This window comes from Homo sapiens, chromosome 2 (genome assembly GCF_000001405.40).
Source record: "Homo sapiens chromosome 2, GRCh38.p14 Primary Assembly".
Taxonomy (NCBI): domain Eukaryota; kingdom Metazoa; phylum Chordata; class Mammalia; order Primates; family Hominidae; genus Homo; species Homo sapiens.
Genome location: NC_000002.12, coordinates 74,070,939 through 74,094,197, shown reverse-complemented (window position 1 = coordinate 74,094,197; position 23,259 = coordinate 74,070,939). Strand labels below are relative to the sequence as shown.

General features: G+C 47.0%; 1 protein-coding gene across 16 annotated transcripts in view, besides 1 other annotated feature; it reads right to left on the bottom strand.

Moving 5' to 3' along the window:
• The window catches only part of TET3 (tet methylcytosine dioxygenase 3), a 151,868-nt gene that overhangs the window by 41,301 nt on the left and 87,308 nt on the right, over positions 1-23,259 (bottom strand). For 9 of the 16 annotated variants that reach the window (XM_011532683.3, XM_017003566.2, XM_011532684.3 and 6 more), the window contains 7 exons: positions 20,559-20,649; positions 13,607-13,700; positions 6,160-6,368; positions 4,151-4,301; positions 1,207-1,296; positions 780-827; positions 532-669 (listed from right to left, as the gene is read on the bottom strand). In XM_011532683.3, the coding sequence (XP_011530985.1) occupies positions 532-669; positions 780-827; positions 1,207-1,296; positions 4,151-4,301; positions 6,160-6,368; positions 13,607-13,700; positions 20,559-20,649 (821 nt within the window). Of the gene's footprint in view, positions 1-531; positions 670-779; positions 901-1,206; positions 1,297-4,150; positions 4,302-6,159; positions 6,369-13,606; positions 13,701-20,558; positions 20,650-23,259 lie in introns of those variants that run through there. The other 7 variants (XM_047443659.1, NM_001287491.2, XM_047443660.1 and 4 more) reach the window with 2 other exon arrangements.
• Positions 7,985-8,484: an enhancer, noted in NCBI's record as "H3K4me1 hESC enhancer chr2:74312841-74313340 (GRCh37/hg19 assembly coordinates)". NCBI's record gives its function as "activates a minimal SCP1, AML or CMV promoter by ChIP-STARR-seq in primed H9 embryonic stem cells {active_cell/tissue: H9 hESC(primed)}" and the evidence as "EXISTENCE:reporter gene assay evidence [ECO:0000049][PMID:30033119]".

Here is a 23,259-nt window from a genome sequence, read left to right as displayed (position 1 = left end):
TCAGAGCAGCCTCTCATCTAAAACAGCATCTCCTGTTGCTTTATCCCTCACCCTACTTCATTTTTCCCTCTTGGCCTTCATTGCTACAGGACATTCCCACACATACTTGGGCAGGAACTTTGTCCGTTTCATCCCGCAGCATGCAGAGCAGTGCCTGGGCACAGCTGGTACTCAATACACATTTGTCCAAAGAATGAATCAAGGGTTTGTTTGCATTTAAATCCAAGTGTCCACAGAGACCGGGGCCCACGCTTTAGATAACTGGGCACTCCAGGTGCTTGAGGGGCTACATCCTGCAGCATCCCCCTAAGACACAGACACAAAGCCAGCCTTGTCTGTTCAAGGGTTTTCTGGTGAGGTTTTCTCTGGGAGGTGGGCGAAGGCAGGCCGTCTTGCAGGGAACCTTCCAGAGTTCTGAGGATCCTGTCTCCAGGTCCCTCCCTACCCTCAGCCTGCCTTTCTGAAAAGACCACGGTGGACTCCCTCCCACAGTTGCCCCACAGGTGGGGCTATGACAGGGCACAGGCTTACCACGGTGCACCCATTGTAGAGGTTATGCTGGTCCTTGTGGGCGTGGGCACAGAAGTCCATGCAGGCCGTGACCCCCGCGAAGGGCCGTCCTTCCTTCAGCCCCAGACGGCAGTCAATCGCTATTTCCTCGTTGGTCACCTGTGTAGACAGCCAAGGAGAGGTGCTCACATGACCTGAGGTGAGTGGCCCCGATTCTGCACCTGGGGAGGCCAGGTCTTGGAAGGAGGGATGTTAAGGATGATAGTCACCTTGCCCTTCGACTGCAGGAGGGAGGTTTTCTGGCTGAGAGGCCCCAGCTACAAAAAAGTTACTTTCAGTCTCCTGTAGGAATTACTTCCTTCTGGGTTATCCCAAGTCCCCTTGCCTTGTCTAGGAGATACAAGGGTGACAGGTGAGAGAAACTCGGGCCTCACCAGTGGATACCAGACCAGAGGAGGTGGATGGGTTACCAGGGGAAGGGAGAAGACCAGGATAGAAGAGGGACGGTGTGGGATGCAGGTAGCCTGGTGTAAAAAAGGGGTTTTTATCAAAGAACCACATCATATCGCTTTACTTCTGGACTAGGCTCTTCCCATAAGAGAGTAAAAGAGCCCACTCTCCCACTTCCCACCTTCAGAGCCTGAGCAGAGATGTGGACGGTGACATGTGGGCAGCAAAAGGCCCAGGGCCCGTTACCTGGTTCTGATAGGCCTGAGGGGCCAGTCGCTTGTACAGGGGAGCGACTTCGGTGGCCAGGTCCTGGAAACTCTTCCGGAGCACTTCTTCCTGCAGAGAGAGGGGCAGTCACACATCCAGAGCAGCCCCGCCTGGCAGACCCTGCACCCTGGAAGTGGACTGGCATTCCTGAAGCATCGTGGGGGAGGCTGGGAGGGAGGTGTTATCAGGTGTCTTTCTGGCCTTTCCTTCAGGAGGGCTGTGGTGCTGTGTCCACTTCACAGCTGGGGACACTGAGGCTCCCAGGAAAAGCTGTGGAAGCCACGGCCTGAAGGTCTAGTCATCCTGACTGCTAAACTACTGCTCCTTCAGGCTCCCGCCCAGTTCAGCCCAGAACATATCAAACGTTTCTTGCTTTCGAGTGCTGAACACCGTAGGTCAGAGGTGCGGCACAGTGGGACTGAAAAAGCCAAGAGCAACAACTGTGGATCTTTCCTCCCAGGCTACAGACAGGAAGAGAAAGGCAGGCAGGATCCATGCTAGAAATTCCACAGCCAGCCCAGCCCAGCCCAGCCCAGCCCAGAGCCTGTCATAAGCCAGGAATACAGACAGACTTCAAAGCTCCAGCTGCTAGACTCGTACTACGTAATGTTATTCACAAACCACATGAAGCTACAGAAATACAGATGAATTCTAATTTTTTTTTTTCTTTGAGACAGAGGCTCACTCTGTCACCCAGGCTGGGGTGCAGTGGCATTATCTTGGCTCACTGCAACCTCCATCTCCTGGGTTCAAGCAATTCTCCTGCCTCAGCCTCCTGAGTAGCTGGGATTAGAGGTGCCCACAGCCGGCTAATTTCTTTTATATTTTTAGTAGAGATGGGGTTTTGCCGTGTTGGCCAGGCTGGTCTCAAACTCCTGACCTCAGGTGATCCAACCACCTTGGCCTCCCAAAGTGCTAGGATTACAGGCGTGAGCCACAATGCCCGGCCTGAATTCTAATAAAAATTAAAGCAATTCAGTCCCTTGGTTGCACTAGTCCCATTTTAAATACTCAGCAGCTACACGTGGCTCCTGTATGGACAGCAGAGAATGTTTCCACACATCACAGAAAGTACTGTGGGACAGCACTGCTCTATGTGAAGCAGCAGCCCCTGGTGACATGTGGCAGAGAGTTCCAGGTATCCACAGCCTCTGTCTGGCCCTCCGAAAACAAGCAGGGCTTGAAGGGCTCCTAGGACACCACGAGCACAGGCACAAAGGGTTTATGAAGAAGAAAGCAGGAAGAGAGGAAAGAGAAAAAGAACCAAGCACACAGAATGAGAAATGGAAGGTGGAGACCCACAGCTCAGCTGTACATCCAGTGGGGTCGCCAGGGCTGCCAGCCACTCTTGACCAGGCCAGCCTGGGCCAGTGATGCCAGGCCACCTCCCTGCCTGATGTCCAGATGCTGCCACCAGCACAGCAGGGGGTGAGGCTTGTGAGCTCTAGGGACACACAGGCCTGAGTTTCAAACCTGCCTTCACCATGAACTAGCCACATGGGCTTAAGGAAGCCATCTGCCTCATCTGTAAAGTGAGGGGTAACAGTGCCTAGATCACTGGGATGGAGGGGTCGTGAAATCATCTGAGAAACCTATGAGGGGCTTGGCAAAGTGCTTAGCACATCGTAAGAGCACAGGAAGTGGCAGTTGGTAGAACAGGGAAAGAATTTGAGAGAAATTAAGCCAATGTCTTTCCATTCCTAGTAGTTCTTAGGTCCTGGTAGCCCCAGGGCTCCATTCATTGAAGCAACCACATCTGCTGCTTGTAAGGGAGGGTGAATCTTACCGTAAATAAAAATCTAATAACAAATTAGACTATTTGCATACAGGTCTATTAGACTATTTAAGTCTAAAAGCCAGGTCTGGGGTAAACAAAGAGTTCTGAATTTGAAAATGCTTCCTTTTTCTTATGAGGACCCAAGCTTGGCAGTCAGAGCACAGAAGGTGACATAGGCTTTGGTGTAGAGAGGGTGTCCCTGCACCACGGGAAGTGGGAAGCCCTTCTGGTACTAGGAGCTTGGAGAGATTTGGAAGGTTGCAACTTGAGTTCACGTATTTGGATATTTGTCTGTATCCTAGCAAAGGAAGCCAGCACTCCACCCGCTCAGGAGCCCAGGCAGAAGGAAGGTAAAATGGCAGACAACCTGGATAGGCTTGTGCCTTCCTTGCATTTGGAGCTGAGTGGAGACCGCCTCTCAGGAGGGCCTTTGCCATGCAGGCATCAGAGGACAAACAACAGAGGGGAGGCGGCCTGAGCAGATGCTCCGGCCCCCACAGCCTGAGGGCGCCTTCCCCTGCTGTCTTGGGGCTGGGGGAGGCCCTGCAGGGCAGGGGTCTGGGTAAGGAGCCTACAGAGAGAAGGTGCCGTGCCTAGCGGTCATACTGTATGGACACCAGTCCAGAGCCCAGGGACCAGGCCAGGCCCCCAGCATGGAGACTGCAAGGGCCCGGATGACTGCCCAGAGACATCTGTCCGGCAGCCAGGCAGGGTGGGAGATACCTTGGGAAGTACAGCAAAGGCCCAGAGGATGGCCCACATGCGGGAGACCGCCTTTCCTGCTAAACCTCACACCTAGAAAGGTGTCCTGGGAAGATGGGGGGGAGAAATGACCTCTGAGAGGGCCAAATTCTGACAAGCGATTTGAATATGTATCTTCGATATTTGGAGTATTTACCTAAAAGAGATGGTTTACATGGGAAGAGCCTGGGGCACCCGTAACTGCTAAGTCTAATTTTTCACACTTGGTGCCCTCCACACACCCCTTATTTCACAGCAAGATAAGGTCAGCTTTTAAAAAAACGAAAACAAGTTCCACTTCCTGTGCATCTGAGTCATGGCGTGCCAGTACTACCTCCCGCTGGACCATGAAGGACGCCAGGCGAGAAAGGATGGGAGGCAGGGTCCCCGCCCAGCTCTGCTCACCTCTTTGGGATTGTCCCCTGCGAGGCGGAACTTGCGAGGTGTCTTGCTCCGAGCATACTTGCAGCCGTTGAAGTACATGCTCCAGGAACAACCAAAGGAGAAGGAGGCACCACAGGTGTTGGGGTCTTTGCCTTGGCAAGCGCAGGTCCGGCTGCAACACACAGCACAGGTCAGGGATATAGATGCAATATCCCTTCGTTCTGGAGTATTCCTCCTCCCTCAAGGGGTGGCCCTGCTGAGCCCTGGCACCCACCAGCCTCCCAGTGACTGAGACTCATCCTTCCCCACCCCCAACCCCTTTCTCAAGTTTCCTTGAGTAGGAAGCCAGATCTAAGCAGCCTCTGCTGCCTGCACCACTGCGAGCCTGCAGGTCTAACACTGAGTCTGTTGCTGGGAGTAGCACATGGGTTTACGGAAGTAAGGGGGAAGAATCTGGTAAAAACCCATTAACGTTTATACTTTCCCTTAACTTAATATCTTAACCAGCTCCAGGACAGGCCATATGAACAGGGAAATGATGTGAGCCCCAGGGTTTGAACGTGTCTATTTCCTATAGCCCAGATGCTAACAGGCCTTTCAACAAAGTATACTGAGATGAAAATTAACGCTTAATACAATCTGGAAACAACCCAAGTGCCCCTAACTGGGGGATGGATAAGCAAACTATGATAGATCCACACAGTGGATTACGACTCATTGATAAAAAGGAACGAGCTACTGACACACACGTCAACACAGATGAACACTGAAAACACTATGTTCAATGGAAGAAGCCAGACTCAGAAAGCTACACCCTGTATGATCCCATTTATGTGACATTCTCACAGAGGTAAACCTACAGGAACAGGAAACAAGACCGGTGACTGCCCAGGGCTAGGGGAGGGCTTGCTTATAAAGGGCATGCATGGGGCACTTCGGGGGGAAGATGGAACTGTTCTATGTCTTTTTTTTTTTTTTTTTTTTTTTTGAGACGGAATCCTGTTCTGTTGCTCAGGCTGGAGTGCAATGGCACGATCTTGGCTCACTGCAACCTCTGCCTCCTGGGTGAAAGTGATTCTCATGCCTCAGCCTCCTTAGTAGCTGGGATTACAGGCATGTGTCACCACACCTGGCTAATTTTTATATTTTTAGTAAAGACAGGGTTTCGCCATGATGGCCAGGCTCGTCTCGAATTCCTGGCCTCAGGCGATCCACCCGCCTTGGCCTCCCAAAGTGCTGCGACCACAGGCATGAGCCACCATGCCCAGCCCTGTTGCATATCTTAATTGTGGTGGTGGTAGGTACGTGACTGTAAACATTTGTCAAAACTATATACCTAAGAGGATGAATTTTATTGTAAATAAATATACCTTCATTTTTAAAAATGGGAAAAACTCTGATAAGGGCAGGGTTTTTTTGTTTTTGTTTTTGAGACAGAGTCTCACTGTTGCCCAGGCTGGAGTGCAGTGGTGCAATCTCAGCTCACTGCAACTTCCGCCGCCCGAGTTCAAGCGATTCTTCTGTCTCAGCCTCCCGAGTAGCTGGGACTACAGGTGTGTGCCACCACGCCTGACTAATTTTTTTATTTTTAGTAGAGATGGGGTTTCACCGTATTGGCCAGGCTGGTCTCAAACTCCTGACCTTATGATCCACCCACTTCGGCCTCCCAAAGTGCTGGGATTATAGGCATGGACCACGCCTGGCCAAGGGCAGGTTTTGTAAATATCTTCGATACCTTCTATTTATGGGGCACATGTACTTCACACTCGCTAATATCATTAGTGCCAGTGTTATCGACCTGGGGTTTAACGGTGAAGTCAAACTAGTAGACCCTCTGGAGCCAGAGCTAGAACCCAGCTCAAGCAAGATCTGTGGATATGCCTTCCTCAACCACAGTCCTAACTGTGCAGGACAAACAGTGCCGCAGAGAGGGCCCCTAGGAGCCTTCCCCAGGGTTGCCTGCAGTCTCCTGTATTTGCTGCCCAGGACCCTATAGGTGGGCCCTGGCCCTGAAGCCCTCTGCTACATACTCATCGTTGAGGCCGCATCTCCGGCTGGTGGGGTTCCCATACTTCCGGAGGGTGTCGGTGAGCTCCTGGTAGAGGGTGTCTCCGAGGCTACGGGGAATGCCCTCCCAGGCCAGGATGAGGATGACGATCACAGCGTTCTGGCAGTGGTGGCCTGCCCGGTGCCGCACCAGGCAGAGTAGCTTCTCCTCCAGCGTGTGCCTGCGGATCACCTGCAGGGACGCAGGGTGTGAGGGGCAGGAGCCAGGTACCCGTGCTCCTCTGCATGGTGCCACCCCTCCCTTTGTCACACAGACCCAGGGTGCAGGTCTTAACGGCAGGGTTCTAGGGATGTCATGCCCTGAAGACAGCAACCTTACAAGCTAAGAGACCATTATTAGGGAACAAATAGGGAACATTATTAGGAACAAATGTTTTGTTAGGGAACAAAAACATAAAAGTTATTTTGAGAGTGAAATAAAAAATAATTACCACAAAATCTAAGTTGCTGATGACTTACATAGGCTTAGGAGTAAAAATACACAGATAAAAATTGTAAGCCAAAATACAGTCAGATTTTTATGTTATCCTAAAACATTTGCAGAGAAAATGCTGCCTACCTGTGTGTTTTTAGTTAACATGCAAGGGGCTTGGCACTGTGGAAAACAGTCTGGCAATGCCTCCAAAAGCTAAACATAGGATTACCATATGATCCAGCAATTCCATGCCTAGGAATACACTCGAGGGACTGAGAGCAGGACTCAGGCAGATCCCTGAATACCCACGTTCACTGCAGCACTATTCACAACAGCCAAAAGGTGGAAGCACCCCCAGGGTCCATCGGTTGATGAACAGGTAAGTACGACGTGGTATAGACAGACAACCAAGTATTACTCAGCCTTAAAGAGAAACAAAATTCTGATCCATGTTACAACATGGATGAACCCCAAAAACATGCTATGTGAAATAAGCCAGACACAAAAGGACACATAGTACATGATTCCACTGACATGAGACACCCAGAACAGTTCCATTCAGAGAGACAGAAAGTAGATTAGAGCTTACGAGGGCCTGGGAAAGGGGAGAATGGAGAATTATTGTTAATGGGTGCAGAGTTTCAGTACAGGATGTTGAAAAAGTTCTGGAAATAGACTAGGTTGATGCTTGTACAACAACGTGAATGTACTTAATGCCACCAACCTGTACACTGAAAAATGGTTAAAATGTTAGATTTTATTTCTACACAAACTTTTTTTTTTTTTTTTTTTTTTAGAGTCAGGGTCTTACTCTGTTGCCCAGGCTGGAGTACAGTGGCATGATCATAGCTCACTGCAGCTTCAAACTCCTGGGCTTAAGCGATCCTCCCACTTCAGCCTTCTTGAGTACCCGGGACTACAGACACACGCCACCATGCCTGGCTAACTTTTTAAAATTTTTTAAGAGACAGGGTCTCACTATGTTGTCTAGGCTGGTCTTGAACTGCTGGGGCTCACGTGATCCTCCTGCCTCAGCCTTCCAAAGTGCTGGGATTACAGACATGAGCCACTGCACCCAGCCTGTTTATACACTGTTACCACAATTTTAAAAATGTACTACACCAAAAACCATTGAATTATATGCTTCAAATGTGTGAACTGTATGGTACGAGAATTGTATCTCAATAAAGCTACTTTTTTTTTTTTTAAGCGAGAGCCCTGGGCATCCACTGCTCTGCTGCTCAGGATCCAGGTCTGAGGTCTGGGTTCTCATTAATTCCTAAACACTGTCCTGGTTTATAAAAAGATGTCAGGGCCAAGAGGCCTGGGAGCTGGGGAAGGAGGTGGCTGAAAATTGCCAGAGAATGCCAGATAATTCCATGACCAGATAAGATGTGAGGGCCTGTGGGCAGGGGAAGGATGAGGGTAGACTGGGAAGGGCTCCGAGTGTCAGGCCCAGGGGCAGGGCCTTGAGGCGGGAACTCCACGCAGGATGGTGAGCAGGGGGCTTACATAAAGAGTTTCATGCTTTAGAAAGTGGGGGCAGAAAATCGGGAGAAGGGCAAGACGGGGAGACCAGCTGGAACACCATTGACATAATGCAAGCAAAATGAATAAAGTCCTAACTATGGCAAGGGGTAAGAAAACAGGAGAAGAATGGATTCCTGAGGCTGAGGGACAAGGAAAAACCCTGAGTGACTTCCACACTTTGTGGCTCAGGAGACTGAGTGGGCATGGGTGTGGTTTACTGGCAAGTTAACTGGGAGCATCCTGAGGCTGAGGTACCTTAGAGCAGGGGTCTCTGACCCCCAGGGTGCGGACCTGTACTGGGTCTGTGGCCTGTTATGAACTGGGCTGCACGGCAGGAGGTGAGCAGCAGGCGAGCGGGCGTTACCGCCTGAGCTCCACCTCCTGTCAGATCAGCAGCAGCTTTAGATTCTCATAGGAGCATGAACTGCGCATGTGAGAGAACTAGGTTGTGCACTCCTTTTGAGAATCTAATGCCTGAATGGTCTTCCACGAAACCAGTCCCTGGTGCCAAAAAGTTAGGGACCACTGCCTTAGAGCACCTGAGTGGTCTCTAAGGATACCCCCCAGAGTGGGTCTGGAGGTCAGGAGATGCTGGGTTGCAGACAGACCTGGTCACGAGTGGATCGTGCTGGGAGACCCTGAAAGGGGTAGCCAGGCAGGCAATACAAATGAGGAAGGTGGGCCGGATGCAAGACTAGTGGGTGGTGTGGACCGTGGCAAAGTGAAAAGCATCTGCCCCATCAACAGGGGGAGGCCAGGCCTTATTGCCATCAACTACCGCCTGGGGGAAATTCCAGCCCAGTGAGGCTAATTCTTCCAATTTTGAAGAAAAAAACGGAAATCCAGATTTTACATAAAATCCCTCTCCAAAAACATGAGTGCTCCAATTTTCTTTTTTTTTTTTTTGCTGTGGAAAAATATACGAACAATTTACCATTTTAATCATTTCAAAGTACACCGTTTAGTGGCATTAGGTATGTTCATATTGCTGTGCAACCATCACAACCACCCATCTCTAAAATTTTTTCATCTTGCACAACAAACTCTGTTCATTAAGGAACTCTCCATTCTCCCCTCCTGAAACCACTGTTCTACTTTCTGCCTCTGTTTCTCTTTTTTTTTGAGACCGAGTCTTGCTCTGTTGCACAGGCTGGAGTGCAGTGGCACGATCTCAGCTCACTAACACCTCTGCCTCCTGGGCTCAGGCAATTCTCCCCACTGTCTCCAGAGTAGCTGGGACTACAGGCGCATGCTACCACGCCTGGCTAATTTTTTGTATTTTTAGTAGAAACGGGGTCTCACTGGGCTGGGTGCGTTAGCTCATGCCTGTAATCCCAGCACTTTGGGAGGCCGAGGCGGGTGGATCACGAGGTCAGGAGATCGAGACCATCCTGGCTAACACAGTGAAACCCCATCTCTACTAAAAAATACAAAAAATTAGCTGGGCGTGGTGGTGGGCACCTGTAGTCTCAGCTACTTGGGAGGCTGAGGCAGGAGAATGGCGTGAACCCAGGAGGCGGAGCTTGCAGTGAGCCAAGATCGTGCCACTGCACTCTAGCCTGGGCGACAGAGCGAGACTCCATCTCAAAAAAAAAAAAAAAGAGAGAGACATGGTCTTACCAGGCTGGTCTTGAACTCCTGATCTCAGGTGAGCTGCCCGCTTGGTCTCCCTAAGTGCTGGGATTACAGGCGTGAGCCACTGCGCCCAGCCTACTTTCTGCGTCTGAATTTAACTGTTCTAGGTACCTCATGTAAGTGGAATCATACAGTATTTATCCTTTTATGACTTGCTTATTTCACTTAATGTAATGTCCTAACCATGTTGTAGCATGTGCCGGAATTTCCTTCAGACTTTGAAAGGATACTTTGCAATGCTGAACAAAACACATCTCTGGCCATGAATTCCTGCTCTGAGGCACGGCAAGAACGGTGCTTCCCCACTAAAGCATCAATTGTATTATTCTTTTGATATGTGTATTTTGGCTATCAGTAACACCTGAACACGGTATTAAATCAGATACTGAGTTAGAACTCTCTACGTGATTGCCTGGCTTCCTGCAGATTAGGCTGAGTGCATCACGGGCATCGACGCACATCTGTGGACACTGATAAGGCCATGGTCTCTGTGACTAGGGTTTGCGAGGCACTATGGTCAACTTCTGCTCCTGGCCAGGGGGAACGCAGCCAATCACACTCATGTGTGAGGCATTCAGAGCACACAAGTCACCCAACCAGTCATGGCCGTGACTGAGGCCATGCCATTCTGGTTTCCCAAATGGCAAACACGCAATGTCATTAGACACAAGCAGACAGCTATCTGTGGCCCATCCTCACAGGCCCCTGGGTGCACTAAAAAAACTAAGAAAACAGCACAGAGGAGTTCCCTACCCACACTCGTATGAAGGAGCCTGGCAGGATGAAACACACAAAATGTCAAAGTCAAAGGCTGACAGAGGCACAAACACATCCATACCTGAGCAGAGCAAGAGAGATGGCTCCAACTCAGCCACAGGATCCTCAACAGCTCATCCAGCTTCTAGGCAGAATTCCCTGAGCACCAGACCAAGAGTAACATAACCCCCAGCAGAACCCCAACCCTGTCTTCCCACAGCTCCCACCACGGTACTTGGTTCTAACACCTGCGGCTTCCTAAGTCTGTTTTACTGTGTCCCTAATGAGCCTACAAGTACCTGCCTTCTGATCTCTGTGACCTTTACACACCAGTATGGGCAGCATCTCTGGAGTTCTTTCCCAGAGCCCATCTTGCTGCCAGGTGTTGCCTTTGGCATGCCTCTGTTGTTCTGAGCCTTCAGAGTGCAACCAGGGCACGCCTGGAATCTTCCGTATTTTGTACAGGCCACCTTAAAATCACAGATGATCAGAGGGCTCTCTGGGCTGACCCACTGCTTCCTAGGTCATCCTCTCAACACACATTTGCTGGGCACCCATGATGTACCTTGACTGTGTCCCCAAATCCTGGCCAGTCAAGTGCAGAACATGTGAGGCACACTGCTTTAAGCTGAAGGTATGGCTGGGGGCTAGGGAGAGGCTGAAACACAGGCACAAATCCTGGTTGGAAAACAAAAGCCAGGCTCTGGACACTGTACCAGGCAGGGTGGGGACATGCACAGGAGACACTGGATGCCTGCACTCACCCGTGGCCACAGAACCGGCTCCGGGCTCCTGACGCTACACTGCCACCAAGAATAATCCGTCCTTCTAAGCATCTGTGGGTCACTTTCCCTGCAGGGCAGGGAGAAGGAGCACCCAACTCCTCTTCAACTTCCAAAGGAGGTGGAACTCTTTAAACCAAGCCCTCTTACCAAAAAACATAGGGTATTTGGCAGCTGTGTAGCCAAAAGAAAACCCCAGAAATCCACCACACTAAAGGAGATGGCCAGAAAAAATAAAGCCCTCAGCACTGCCGTTTTCTTGCCACTACAATAGTTCTGTGATTGACCACCCATTTGCTCCTCCCATAAAAAAAAGTATTTCCTCTCCTTTTCTCTTCACTCATAAGACATGGGAAGTCCCACCCTCTGCAAACACTATCAGCACCTTCTATGTTCACCCACCAGGGCTCAGTGACACCCACGAGTTGTTCCCTCCTTGAATGTAACCTCCAGTTCACTGCGCCCCATGCGTCCTGCTCTGGGCATCCGTCCACAGACCCCAGAGCAATGGCATACTGAGGACAAAGTTCCTGCCCCTCCATCCTCCTGCCTTCCTCTTCCAGCCCCAGGAACTGGCCCCAGTCTGCAGGCAAGTGTGCTCTTCCCAGCCCTCAGTGGGGCCACACGAGCCCTGACCAGGACTTATCGCTTTACCACTGTAACCGGGGTCTAGAAATGCATCTTCTTTAAGCCACCCACAGGACCAGCTATTCTTTAAGGGGCCAACTGTCTTGAAGCTGGAAAAGTCTCCAACTCTACCTATGCTCCAAGATCTTCATTTTTATGTCCAAGACTTTGGAATTCCTCAATGACTGCATGAATTAGCAGGAGAAAGGGGCAGCTGTCACTCTACGGCTGACGTCTTTTCTCTGATGGGTTCTCTGGGGAGGTAACACCCCACCATGATAAGCCACATCAGACTTCTCACTGCAATGACCACCTCTCAAGAGGGTGGGGGCAGCCTGCTTCTTCATACTTATGAATACACTAAGTGATTCCAGATTCTCTGGTTGTATATAATTCTGCAATGCTGACTAAAAATTGCTAAAAATAGTAAACTTGGTAGTTCAAGTTCAGACACCTTTTATTTTCACCAAACACAAAGACACAAAGGCACAGGGTGTATACCAGGTAAAAACAGGCACATACGTCCTACACATGTTGTAGCATATGTCAGAATTTCCTACAACATGCACAGATGGACATATGCTGACAGGGGTTATCTTACCCGCCTCCCTCACAGTCAGCCACGGGTCTGTCCACCCAGCCTCTCTGCCTTTGCCCACATGATTCTCCTCACTGGGAATGCTTCCTCCCTCTCCTCAGCCTGACTAGTAACGGGCCAGTATTCATGGCCCCTGGCACGCTCACCTCGGGAAACCTAGCTTGAGCATTCCTCCTCCTCTGAACCACAGCATCAAGTCTGCCTCTCAACGACCCCAGTCTCCATGACTTTATTTCATATGTCTCTAGAGCACAAACAGCTTGAACATAGGGACCGAGCCCTCGTCTTCCACCCATACCCACTGCCCAGCACAGCGCGAGGCTGAGCTTGCAGGCACCCGAGGAACCTGGCTGCTCCTCCTCAGCACTTCTTCTGCAGAGGCAGATGCTCTGCTATTTAAAGATCTCCCTGTGGACTGGGAGGGCAAGGTCAGAAGGACTCTGTTTGGTGACTTGGGGTCTGAGTCACTGATGTTCTCCCTGTGAAGATGTCTAGGTTGCCTGGTAGGAAACTGCTTAGAAGCAAGGCAGAGGCAAGACTGGCCCACAGTGCTGCCCAGAGCCCTGGCCTCTTCCCTCAGGTTGGATCTCAGCATGCTAGCCTTCAGGTTTGTCTCTGGCTTCCAGGCAGCAGACAAAAGCACTGGCAGCTCCAGGGCACATGGAAGGGGACAAGGAGTCTGACAGTCCACAGTGGAGCCCATCAACGGGTCATGACAGCATCCCCAGTTTCCCTTCCTACCCCTCCGGCCCTGAGCCACGGGGACAGGATGAGCCGAGTGTGAAGACTAACACAGTTCCAAGGCTGACCCAAGACTCGGGGACTGGCATTTAAACAAGATGAGGACAAACAGCTGAGGCTGGGGGAAATGACCCTAACCCTGAGCCAGATTCCAGCTCTAAGGCTCCCCTGGACAGTCAACATGTTGTCTCCTACACACCCACCTGGCCCCACCCCCCGCCCTCGCCTGCTCAGCTACATGCAGCAAGGGGAACCAGGCACAGCCGTGGCCATGCAGCAAGGGGAACCAGGCACAGCTGTGGCTCTTGAGTGGGCTCAACACTCACCCACTTTGCAATGGGGCAACCGCGGGAGCTCTTTCCCTCCTTCCCCGTGTAGATGACCTTCTCGATCCGGATGGCTTTCCCCTTCTCTCCATACCTGAAGAGGGAGACAGAAGCCACCATTAGCACAGCAGAACCCCAAAGGAGAACAACTTTTGGTCAGAAGACAGCCTCAGTGTGCTTTTGTTTGAGTTTCTGGTTACCGTCGGGGGCAACAGAGAAGAAAGAGAAAGGTTTAAATGTTATTTGGTACCTAAAGGCTCTGGAGACACAGCGGCCACTTCCAGGCTTCCAGGTTCACCTGCCCCTTCTCTGCTCCCGCCCATCGGGCCCCCTCTGATCCAAGGCAGAAAGACAGCCGAGCAGAATGTCCCTGATCGTTACCTCCGAACTCCAGAAGGGAACTGAAACCAAAGGCTAAACATGGGCATTTGTATCCAGCCCTGTTAGCTGAGTCACCCTGAGAGTTAGCTATTTATAAATATAACAAATGAAATAAATGGGGGAACCCTTATTATTCTCTTTGAATAATCCCTAGATGACATTTGACCATGATGATGACAAACAGCTGAGGTTGGGGAGAAGTGGCTCTACTAAGCCCAAACGCCAGCTCTGAGGTTCCCCTGGACAGTAAACACATCTGGTTCCTGCACACGTCACCTGCCCTGGCTCCCCCACACACTCAGGGCTTCAGAACCCCAGCTCTCTAGGACTGTCTAATCAACCACACTATATTCAGAGATGGTGCAACTATGGCCCCTGGAGTTGAACTGACTTATCCAAGGCCACACAACTACAAAGAGGCAGCAGTGGTCTAAGCACAGCCCTGGACATCAGACAGACTTGGGTGTGAGTGCCAGCCCTGCCACTGTCTTGCTATATAACTGTGGCCAAATTACTAAACTTCTCTAAGCCTCAGTTTTCTCATCTGTAAAATGGAGATTAAAATGATCCCCACCTCCTGGGCTTGGTAAAGATCAAACAATAGTCCACAGGGAGTATATTATTTAAAGTGCTTTGAAGTTCCTGGCATGAGGAAAGAGTCCAATAAACAGTAATTATTTTTAATAATGTAAACGCCATCTTACAGAATCTTCTTATTTTTAACAGTTTTTTAGTTTCAGGTGCAATGTCATATCACCTGCAGATAATGGTCATTTGCCACCTATTCCCTTCTATTCTTTATAGCTCTAGCCATAAAGAAAGCACCTAAGATGGCCAGGGGCTTTCTTTTTTTTTCTTTCTTTTTGAGACGGAGTCTCACTCTGTCGCCCAGGCTGGAATGCAGTGGTGCAATCTCGGCTCATTGCAACCTCCGCTTCCCGGGTTCAAGTAATTCTCTGCCTCAGCCTCCCGAGTAGCTGGGATTACAGGTGCCTGCCACCACGCCCAGCTAATTTTTGTATTTTTAGTAAGGACAGGGTTTCACCATGTTGGCCAGGCTCGTCTTGAACTCCTGACCTCATGATCCACCCGCCTCGGCCTCCCGAAGTGCTGGGATTACAGGTGTGAGCCACGCATGCCAGGCCTGGCCAAGTTTCTGAAGGGCTGGCGGGCATCTCTGCTTCTTCCCGACTTTACTGAAAATGTTTCCAACAATTCATCACTGAGCATGAAACTGGCTAACTTTGGGAAAGCGACAGATTTCCTTACTTTGAAGGGTGCCACTAAGAGTCTCCTGTCCTAAGGATTTTTAATCAAGAATTATTTTTATAAAATATATTTTTAACACATAAGGAGACAGATGATTGAATGTTTTTTATTTGAGCAATTAACACAGCATACTATAACCTTGTATTTCTGTAATAAATTCAATTTGATCATGGCATGTTATTTTAATATACTATTTCATAGAGCATGAATGTTATCATAGCTTCTACAGTTCAGAATACACATATTCTTTATCTTACCCACTCCACTTCTAGGAATCTCCACCCCAGAAATAACCATACAAATGCACCAAGCTTTAGGAACAAGATAATTCACTGTCTCATCAACAACAGAAAAATGAAACAACTTATATGTCTAACATGAGACTGGTTAAATACATTATAATAAATTTCACAAAAAATATCAATTTTCATGCAATGAAAAACCATGTCCCATCAAAAATGATTAGGTAGAATTGTATGTACTGACATGGAAAGAAATTAAGTGGGGGGGAAAAAGCAAGCTACAGACAGTGGGTATAATGGACCACATTTGGTTTAAAACTTCTCTATATACATATTAATACATTTATCTCTGTATATATACAAATATCTTTGTAAATCCTTAGAAAATATTGAAAAATAAGCATTGAACTTTAGCGCTTTATTCGTTCTTTAGACTTTTAAAGCCTTTGTTTCATTTTTGTAATTGAAAAAGAGAACAGTTTATAATTTTTTTTTAATTAACGAATTAATTTTTTAAAACAAGCTCTTGTCAGGCCACAAACATTTTTTTAAAATGCTGATCTAAGGTTCCTCTGAGTTCCATGTTCTCTATTTCACTCAAGATCTTAGCAAAAGGATGAAAACTGTTTCTGATAATTACAACATTAAAATTCTAAGGCTCTGTTCTCTTACAGAAAGCATTTGGAGACAGGACTCAGGGGTTTATATAGCATGGTCTGGATGAAGAGGAAAAGATCACATAATGCTGCTTTTGTCTGGTTCCTGGACAACTTTCATTTCAACAAGCATTTATCAGGAAGCCACCCATAAGGGCAGGGCCTGGGCCCCTGGTGTGTCGTGGAGATCCCTGTTGGGAGAACAGCCTGAGGTGACCACACTCCTCTCGCTGAGACGGAAGCACTATCGCATTCCTCGCAGGAGGGTGAGCTGAGGACACTGCCACCACTTTCCAACCAGGACCTTCCCCACCATCCCGCCCCTGTGAGAAACATGTCCTGCAGTGAACCTCGCATTAGACAAATAAAAGGGCCAAGCACTGTCTGATCAGCTAGACTTAAAAAAACAAAAACAAAAACAAAAACAGAACTGACTGTCTCTTTGTGTTTAAAGACAGCCAATCAACTCTCATTTTAGCTCTTTCTTCTCAAGTGCCTTACTTTTTGGCCTATCATGAAGAGGCCCTTCTAGTATTCAGATTAACTATCAGACCCTCAACTAAGTCTGCATAGATAGCCTGAAATCTTATTCTAAAGGATAACTAATCATACAAGCCAATCATCTTATTCTAAAGGATAACTGGCTCTCCAAGGGTGGTCCCAGGGCCAGCAGCATCAGCATCCCCTAGAAATTTGGTAGGAATGGAACATAGATTCTCAGATCCCATTCCAGACCTGCTGGGTCAGAAACTCAGGTGGGGCCCAGTCATCTGTGCTTTAACAAACCCTCTAGAGACTCTGAGGCCCACTGAAGTCTGACAACCACTGCTCTGAGGCTTTGCCTTTTCAGGATTGTCTCTGTCACACAGTAATGAGACCAGTTCCCCCAAATCTCAGAGAACCTGCTAGTGCAGTGTTGGTTCTTTGTTCCTAGAACAAGCATTTAATGAACTCCTAGGCTGCAGAGAATCTCCTTCCCAGACAGAACACACAAGGCTCTGTGCTGTGCACCGGTCTCAGATACGAGTTTGACAACTGACTCCAATTATCTATGAAGATAAGGACCTAGGTACCCACAAAGTATGACACTCATAAATAAGTTGGGACATTTTAGGATTTGCTTTCAACCTTCCCCTCCTTTCTCCAAAATCTTTACTGGAAAAGCTAAGAGAACCAGGTTTCCCTGATTTCAGTTTACTTCCCCTCCCTGCCTTCAGCCAACTCCTGACAGCAGAGCAGTCCTGAAGAGAAAGGGTTGAGGAAGAGTCTAGGAAAAGAGACAGCCTAGACCTACCATTCACAAACTAGACCCCTACCCAGGGGATTTGCATCAATCACTCATTACTCCCCTCGTTCCAGAAAGGATCTTATGAAGATATCTATAAGATAAAACTAACAGGTGATGAAATCAGAGTAAAGGGCAAAAAAAAAAAAAGGTATGCTGGTACACAAAATACAATCAGTGGGGTTTCGTGTGTATTTTTGAGAGACAAGCCTGGAATATCTTGTTATATGAGAAATCCAAAAAAGGCTTGTTAGGATCATGTCAAAAACAAAACAAAATAAAATAGACAAAAAAAAAAAAAAAAAAAAAAAAAAAAACCCAGAGGAATGAACCTGAATAGGTTCTATGGGCCAAAGATGAGAAATTACCTTCCTCCTGATGGGGTACACAAATCTGACTCCAAGTTTACTAGCAGGCAACGTAAAGATGGAACTGCAATCTGTTACATGATTTGCAAGGTCCTTAAGATAAAAATAAACCAGTTGCTAAGGAAAAACACAAGTATTCCTGGTCTTGAGAGGAATTCCTCCCTTGGATCAGTTTCTGAAGAGTCTACAGCTGGCTGTTATTTTTAAAGAATCAGGGGGTAAAAAAAAAAAGACATATGTCAACCTTATCTTACCAAATTTCAAAGATCTCTTGATCCTTGTTTCAAAATACTTTTCTATAATGAAAAGTTGTTTAAGAGAGCTGTCTGGAAATCTTATAAAATTGTTACCCCAAAATACCCCAGAACAAAAAACCTGCCCCAGATCAAACTTGTACATTTGACTCCCCTGCAGCAAATGATAGTGTCAGGATTCCTTACAAAAATCACCGGCCCAGAAGCTGCCTGGTCTAATCTGCAAACTACAACACACAGGCATGTGAGCACATGCAGGCAAGCACGACAACACTGCACACAGCTTCAAATCTGTCTCATGCTCATGGACTCAGAAGTGCCCTCATACCAGGCTGGAATTTACAGACTGGTGAATATAAATGTTCCCAGATGGTCTAGGAAATTAACAGTGATGACTGCAGATCACTGTCCTCCATGTATCTTACCTTTTATTTATTCAGAGAAGCTGTTATAGTCATTCAGCTCAAAATCATGTTTCCTGCTACACAGACAAGAGTATCTGGCTCCTTGCCAGGCACGGTGGCTCACACCTGTAATTCCAGCACTTTGGGAGGCCAACGTGGGCAGATCACCTGTGGTCAGGAGTTCGAGACCAGCCTGGCCAACATGGTGAAACCCCGTCTCTATTAAAAATACAAAAATCAGCCTGGAGTGGTGGCATGTACCTGTAGTCTCAGGTACTCGGGAGACTGAGACAGGAAAATTGCTTGAACCTGGGAGGCAGAGGTTGCAGTGAGCCAAGACCACACCACTGCACTCCAGACTGGAGGACAGAGCAGATTCCGTCTCAAAAAAAAAAAAAAAAAAAAAAAAAAAGTATTTGGCTCTCATGGTCAGACAAAATGGGGTTCCCAAATTTGCGACAACTCTAAGCCACACAACTTTCCACTTATCTGTATGTATATGTATGGGCAAGCATATGCTTATGTCTACATCATCTTAGCTTTTATTATTAAAATACTAATGCAGCTGGGCGCAGTGGCTCACGCCTGTAATCCCAGCACTTTGGGAGGCCGAGGCGGGCGGATCACAAGGTCAGGAGATCGAGACCATCCTGGCTAACACGGTGAAACCCCATCTCTACTAAAAATACAAAAAATTAGCCAGGCGTGGTGGCAGGCGCCTGTAGTCCCAGCTACTTGGGAGTCTGAGGCAGGAGAATGGCGTGAACCTGGAGGCGGAGCTTGCAGTGAGCTGAGATTGTGCCACTGTACTCCAGCCTGGGTGACAGCACGACTCCGTCTCAAAAAAAAACAAACAAAACAAACAAACAAACAAAAAACACTAATGCTTGTTCTAAAAAATGCAATCAGTGCATTTGTCTGTGAGGTAGTTAATGACTATCTACCTTTTCCATAGTCCTCATGACAAGCACTAAGTGTTTCCACACATCAATTCATCAATTCAGTTTATCCTCGGGACACTCCTACAGTGTGTTTTTATCAGCATCTCTATTTTGCAGATAAGAAAACTTGAGTCACAGAAGAGCAGAACAACTTGCTAGGGACTCAGCAGTGAGTGGCAGGGCCAGGACTGGGCCTCAGTCTGGCTCAAGTCCCTGCTCTCAGCCCCTGAGCCATAGACTCGAACTTAGAGTGTTTACTACCTGCCGTGGACACGCACATGGGTTTCCAAGTCTCCATCTGCATGAACTGCTCAAAAACCACAACTAGTAAACAGAAACCCTAGAGTCCTGAATTTGAATTGGGAGTGTCAATATAAACTCATGATGTATATAATCACTAAGCAGTAACAAAAATGAAAAATCCAGATTCAACATAGCTCTTTCTACATAAGCAGCCTAAAAACAATGAACAACCCCTGTGTAGTCATGAGTGCCCCTAGTAGACAGAGTCTGTTTTCTAAATACCTTTTCCTCCAATAAAAGGAACCAGGACTTCTTGGATAAACGTACAATGTGAACCCAGGATATCTTGTCATATGAGAAATCAAGAAAGCTATGAAACACTCCTACGATCCTGTCCAAAGGATTTAGGGGACAACCTGAGTAGGTTTCCACTGGCCAGGAGTGAGACATTATATTCCTCTTAGGGGAGGTAAAAAATTCCACCTATGAGGTAGTTTTGGAAAAAAAGGAAAAATAACCTGATCTCAATCAGGGCTTTTGGTCTAACTACCAATTTATAGGACATAGAGGCATGTTAAACACTTTTAATGATACCACAATACCACGGGAAAGCTATCAGCAAAATTCAGATGTAGGAAACTAACTCTACAGGACATAGAGCCATATAACCATAAAAACATTTCAAGACAGAGAGAAGCAGGGGGACATGAATTGGGCAGACCTACAGAATGAAAGAAACCCAGAAACAATGGAAGTGAGGATCCCACAGTAAACCTTCCCTAAGCCCGTTATCAGGGTTTCCTTTCTGTATATTGTCTGTTACAAGGCAAAGAAAAATGAGAGGCGCTTAATATCCGTATTCCATTAACAGCACATCCATTTCTCCTTGGACATCTGTGTATCACTCACCGCTCCTCCATGAGTTCCCGGATAGAGGCGACCGTGGGGCCAGATCCCAAGTGAGTATAATATGGACCTTCATCTTTCTCCACTATTTGTTCTGCAGAAACACAGAGAGTAAACATTTTTGGAATATCAATTAGTCAATATTAATTTAGAAAAGCAAACCACCAACAGGAAAGTTAATAGGCATGCTAGAAAACAGGAAACCCACATGGCTTATGAACATGTGAAAAGGTGTTCAACTCCATTAGAAATCAGGAAATACAAATTAAAATCACAATAAAACACCATCACATATGGACCAAATTGGCAAAAATTTAAAAATCTGATAAAACCAAGTGTTGTCAAAGCTGTGATCTAAGCACTTTGGGATTCCGCCTACCATTATCCAATAAAGCTAAACAGTTGCATCCTGCCTGACCCAGTAATTCCATTTCTAGATACACACTCAAGACCAGGGGTCAGCAAGCTACTTCCCTCCAGTGAGCCACCGCACCCGGCCAAAAACATTTTGTTAAGTGAAAGAAGCCCTCCTGGGTAAATACCCAATCAAACTGAAGACAGAGGCTCAAACAGATACTTGTATGCCAATGTTCAGAGCAGCATTTATTCACCACAACTAAAAGGTGAAAACAACATAATCATCCATCAGCAGGTGGATGGATACATAAAATGCGTATGTCCACATGACAGAATATTACTCAGCCAAAAAAGGAATGAAGTTTTGATACATGCTATTACAAGGATGAACCTTAAGAACATTATACCAAGTAAAATAAACCAGACACAAAGGACAAATACTGTAGGATTTCCCTGATATGAATTATCTAGAAGAGGCAGATTCCTAGAGACAGAAAGTAGATGAGAGGTTCGCAGGGGCTGGGAGGAGCAGGAAATGAGGGGTTATTGCTTAATGGGACAGAGTTTCTGTTTAGGCTGATGAAGTTTTGGAAACAGACAGTGGTGTCAGTTGCACAATATTGTGAATGTAATTAATGCCACTAAACTGTACACATAAACATGATTAAAATGGCAAATTTAAGTTATACATACTTTACCACAATTTAAATAAAAGAAGTTCTGATACATGCTACAATATGGATGAACCTTGAAAACATTTTTTTTTTTTTTTTTAGATGGAGTTTTGCTCTTGTTGCCCAGGCTGGAGTGCAATGGCGCGATCTTGGCTCACTGCAACCTCCGCCTCCCAGGTTCAAGTAATTCTCATGCCTCAGCCTCCCAAGTAGCTGGGATTATAGGCATGCACCACCACACCCAGCTAATTTTGTATTTTTAGTAGAGACAGAGTTTCACCATGTTGACCAGGCTGGTCTCGAACTCCTGACCTCAGGTGATCCACTCACCTTGGCCTCCCAAAGTGCTGGGATTACAGGCATAAGCTGTTGTGCCCCACCAAAAACATTTTGTTAAGAAGCCAGATACAAAACAGGTCACACATTGTATGATTCCATTTATATGAAATACTCAGAATAGGTAAATCTATAGAAACAAAAAGGCAAACTGGTGGTTGTTGCCAGAGGCTGGGGGCTGGGTAGGAATGAGGAGTAACTGCTTAATGGGTAACGGTGTTTTTTTGGAATCATGAAAATATTTTAAAACTGGAGGGAGATGTGGTTGTACAACATTGTGAATGTACTAAATGCCACTGAATTGTTCACTTTAAGATGGTTAATTTTACGTGAAGCTCAACTCAATTTGTAAAAAGGAACCAACCATTCACGTAACAACATGGATGAATTTTAAATGAGTTTTTCTAAGTGAAAGAAAACAGACCCAAAAGGCTACATAGTAGCAGCTTTGGAAAACAGTGATGTGGCTGGATATTAGGAGGCTAAAAACAAAAAAACTATACACACAGTGTGTACCTACTGTACTACAGTTGGTAAGTTTGCTTCATATCTAAGAAGACATGACAATTAAATGTAATAGAGTAACCTACATTGGGTCCTATGACTGAAAAAGGACCATTGGTGGAAAAACTGATGAAATCCAAAAAGTCTGTAGTTAACAGTATTGTACCAACGTTAATTTCTTCATTTTAAATATACCATAATTACGTAAGACATTTACAAGCAAGAGAAAGTATATAAAGGGTATACAGGAATTCGCTGCACTAACTTCGTAACTCTCCCATAAATGTAAAATTATTTCAAAATAAAGTATTTAAAAAGTAAAAGAAAAAAACAGTGAGCCACAATTTGCTGATCCTTAGGCGAAATCTTAGTCACACACATTAAAACCCACATACAAAGATTTTCACAGCAACACTGTCTGCAAGAGTCAAAGCTGTAGACAGCCTGCTGTGGACTGAAGGTTTGTGTCCCTCCCAAATTTGTATGTTGAAGCCTAATCCCCAATGGGATAGCATTTGGAGGTAGGGCTTTGGGGAGGTAATTAGGTCAAGAGGGTGGCACCCTCCTGAATGGCACTAGTGTCCTTATAGGAAGGGATACCAGAGAGCTTGCTTCCCCTTTCCCTCTCCTCTCCTATGTGAAGATATAGCGAGGAGGTGGCTGTCTACAAGCTAAGAGAGGGCCCTCGACAGACACCAGATCTGCTGGTGCCTTGATCTTAGCATTCTCAGCCTCTACAGCTGTGAGAAATCAATGTTCATTATTTAAACCACCCAGACTATGGGATTTTTTTTCTAGAGACAGGGTCTCACTCTGATGCCCAGGTTGGAGTG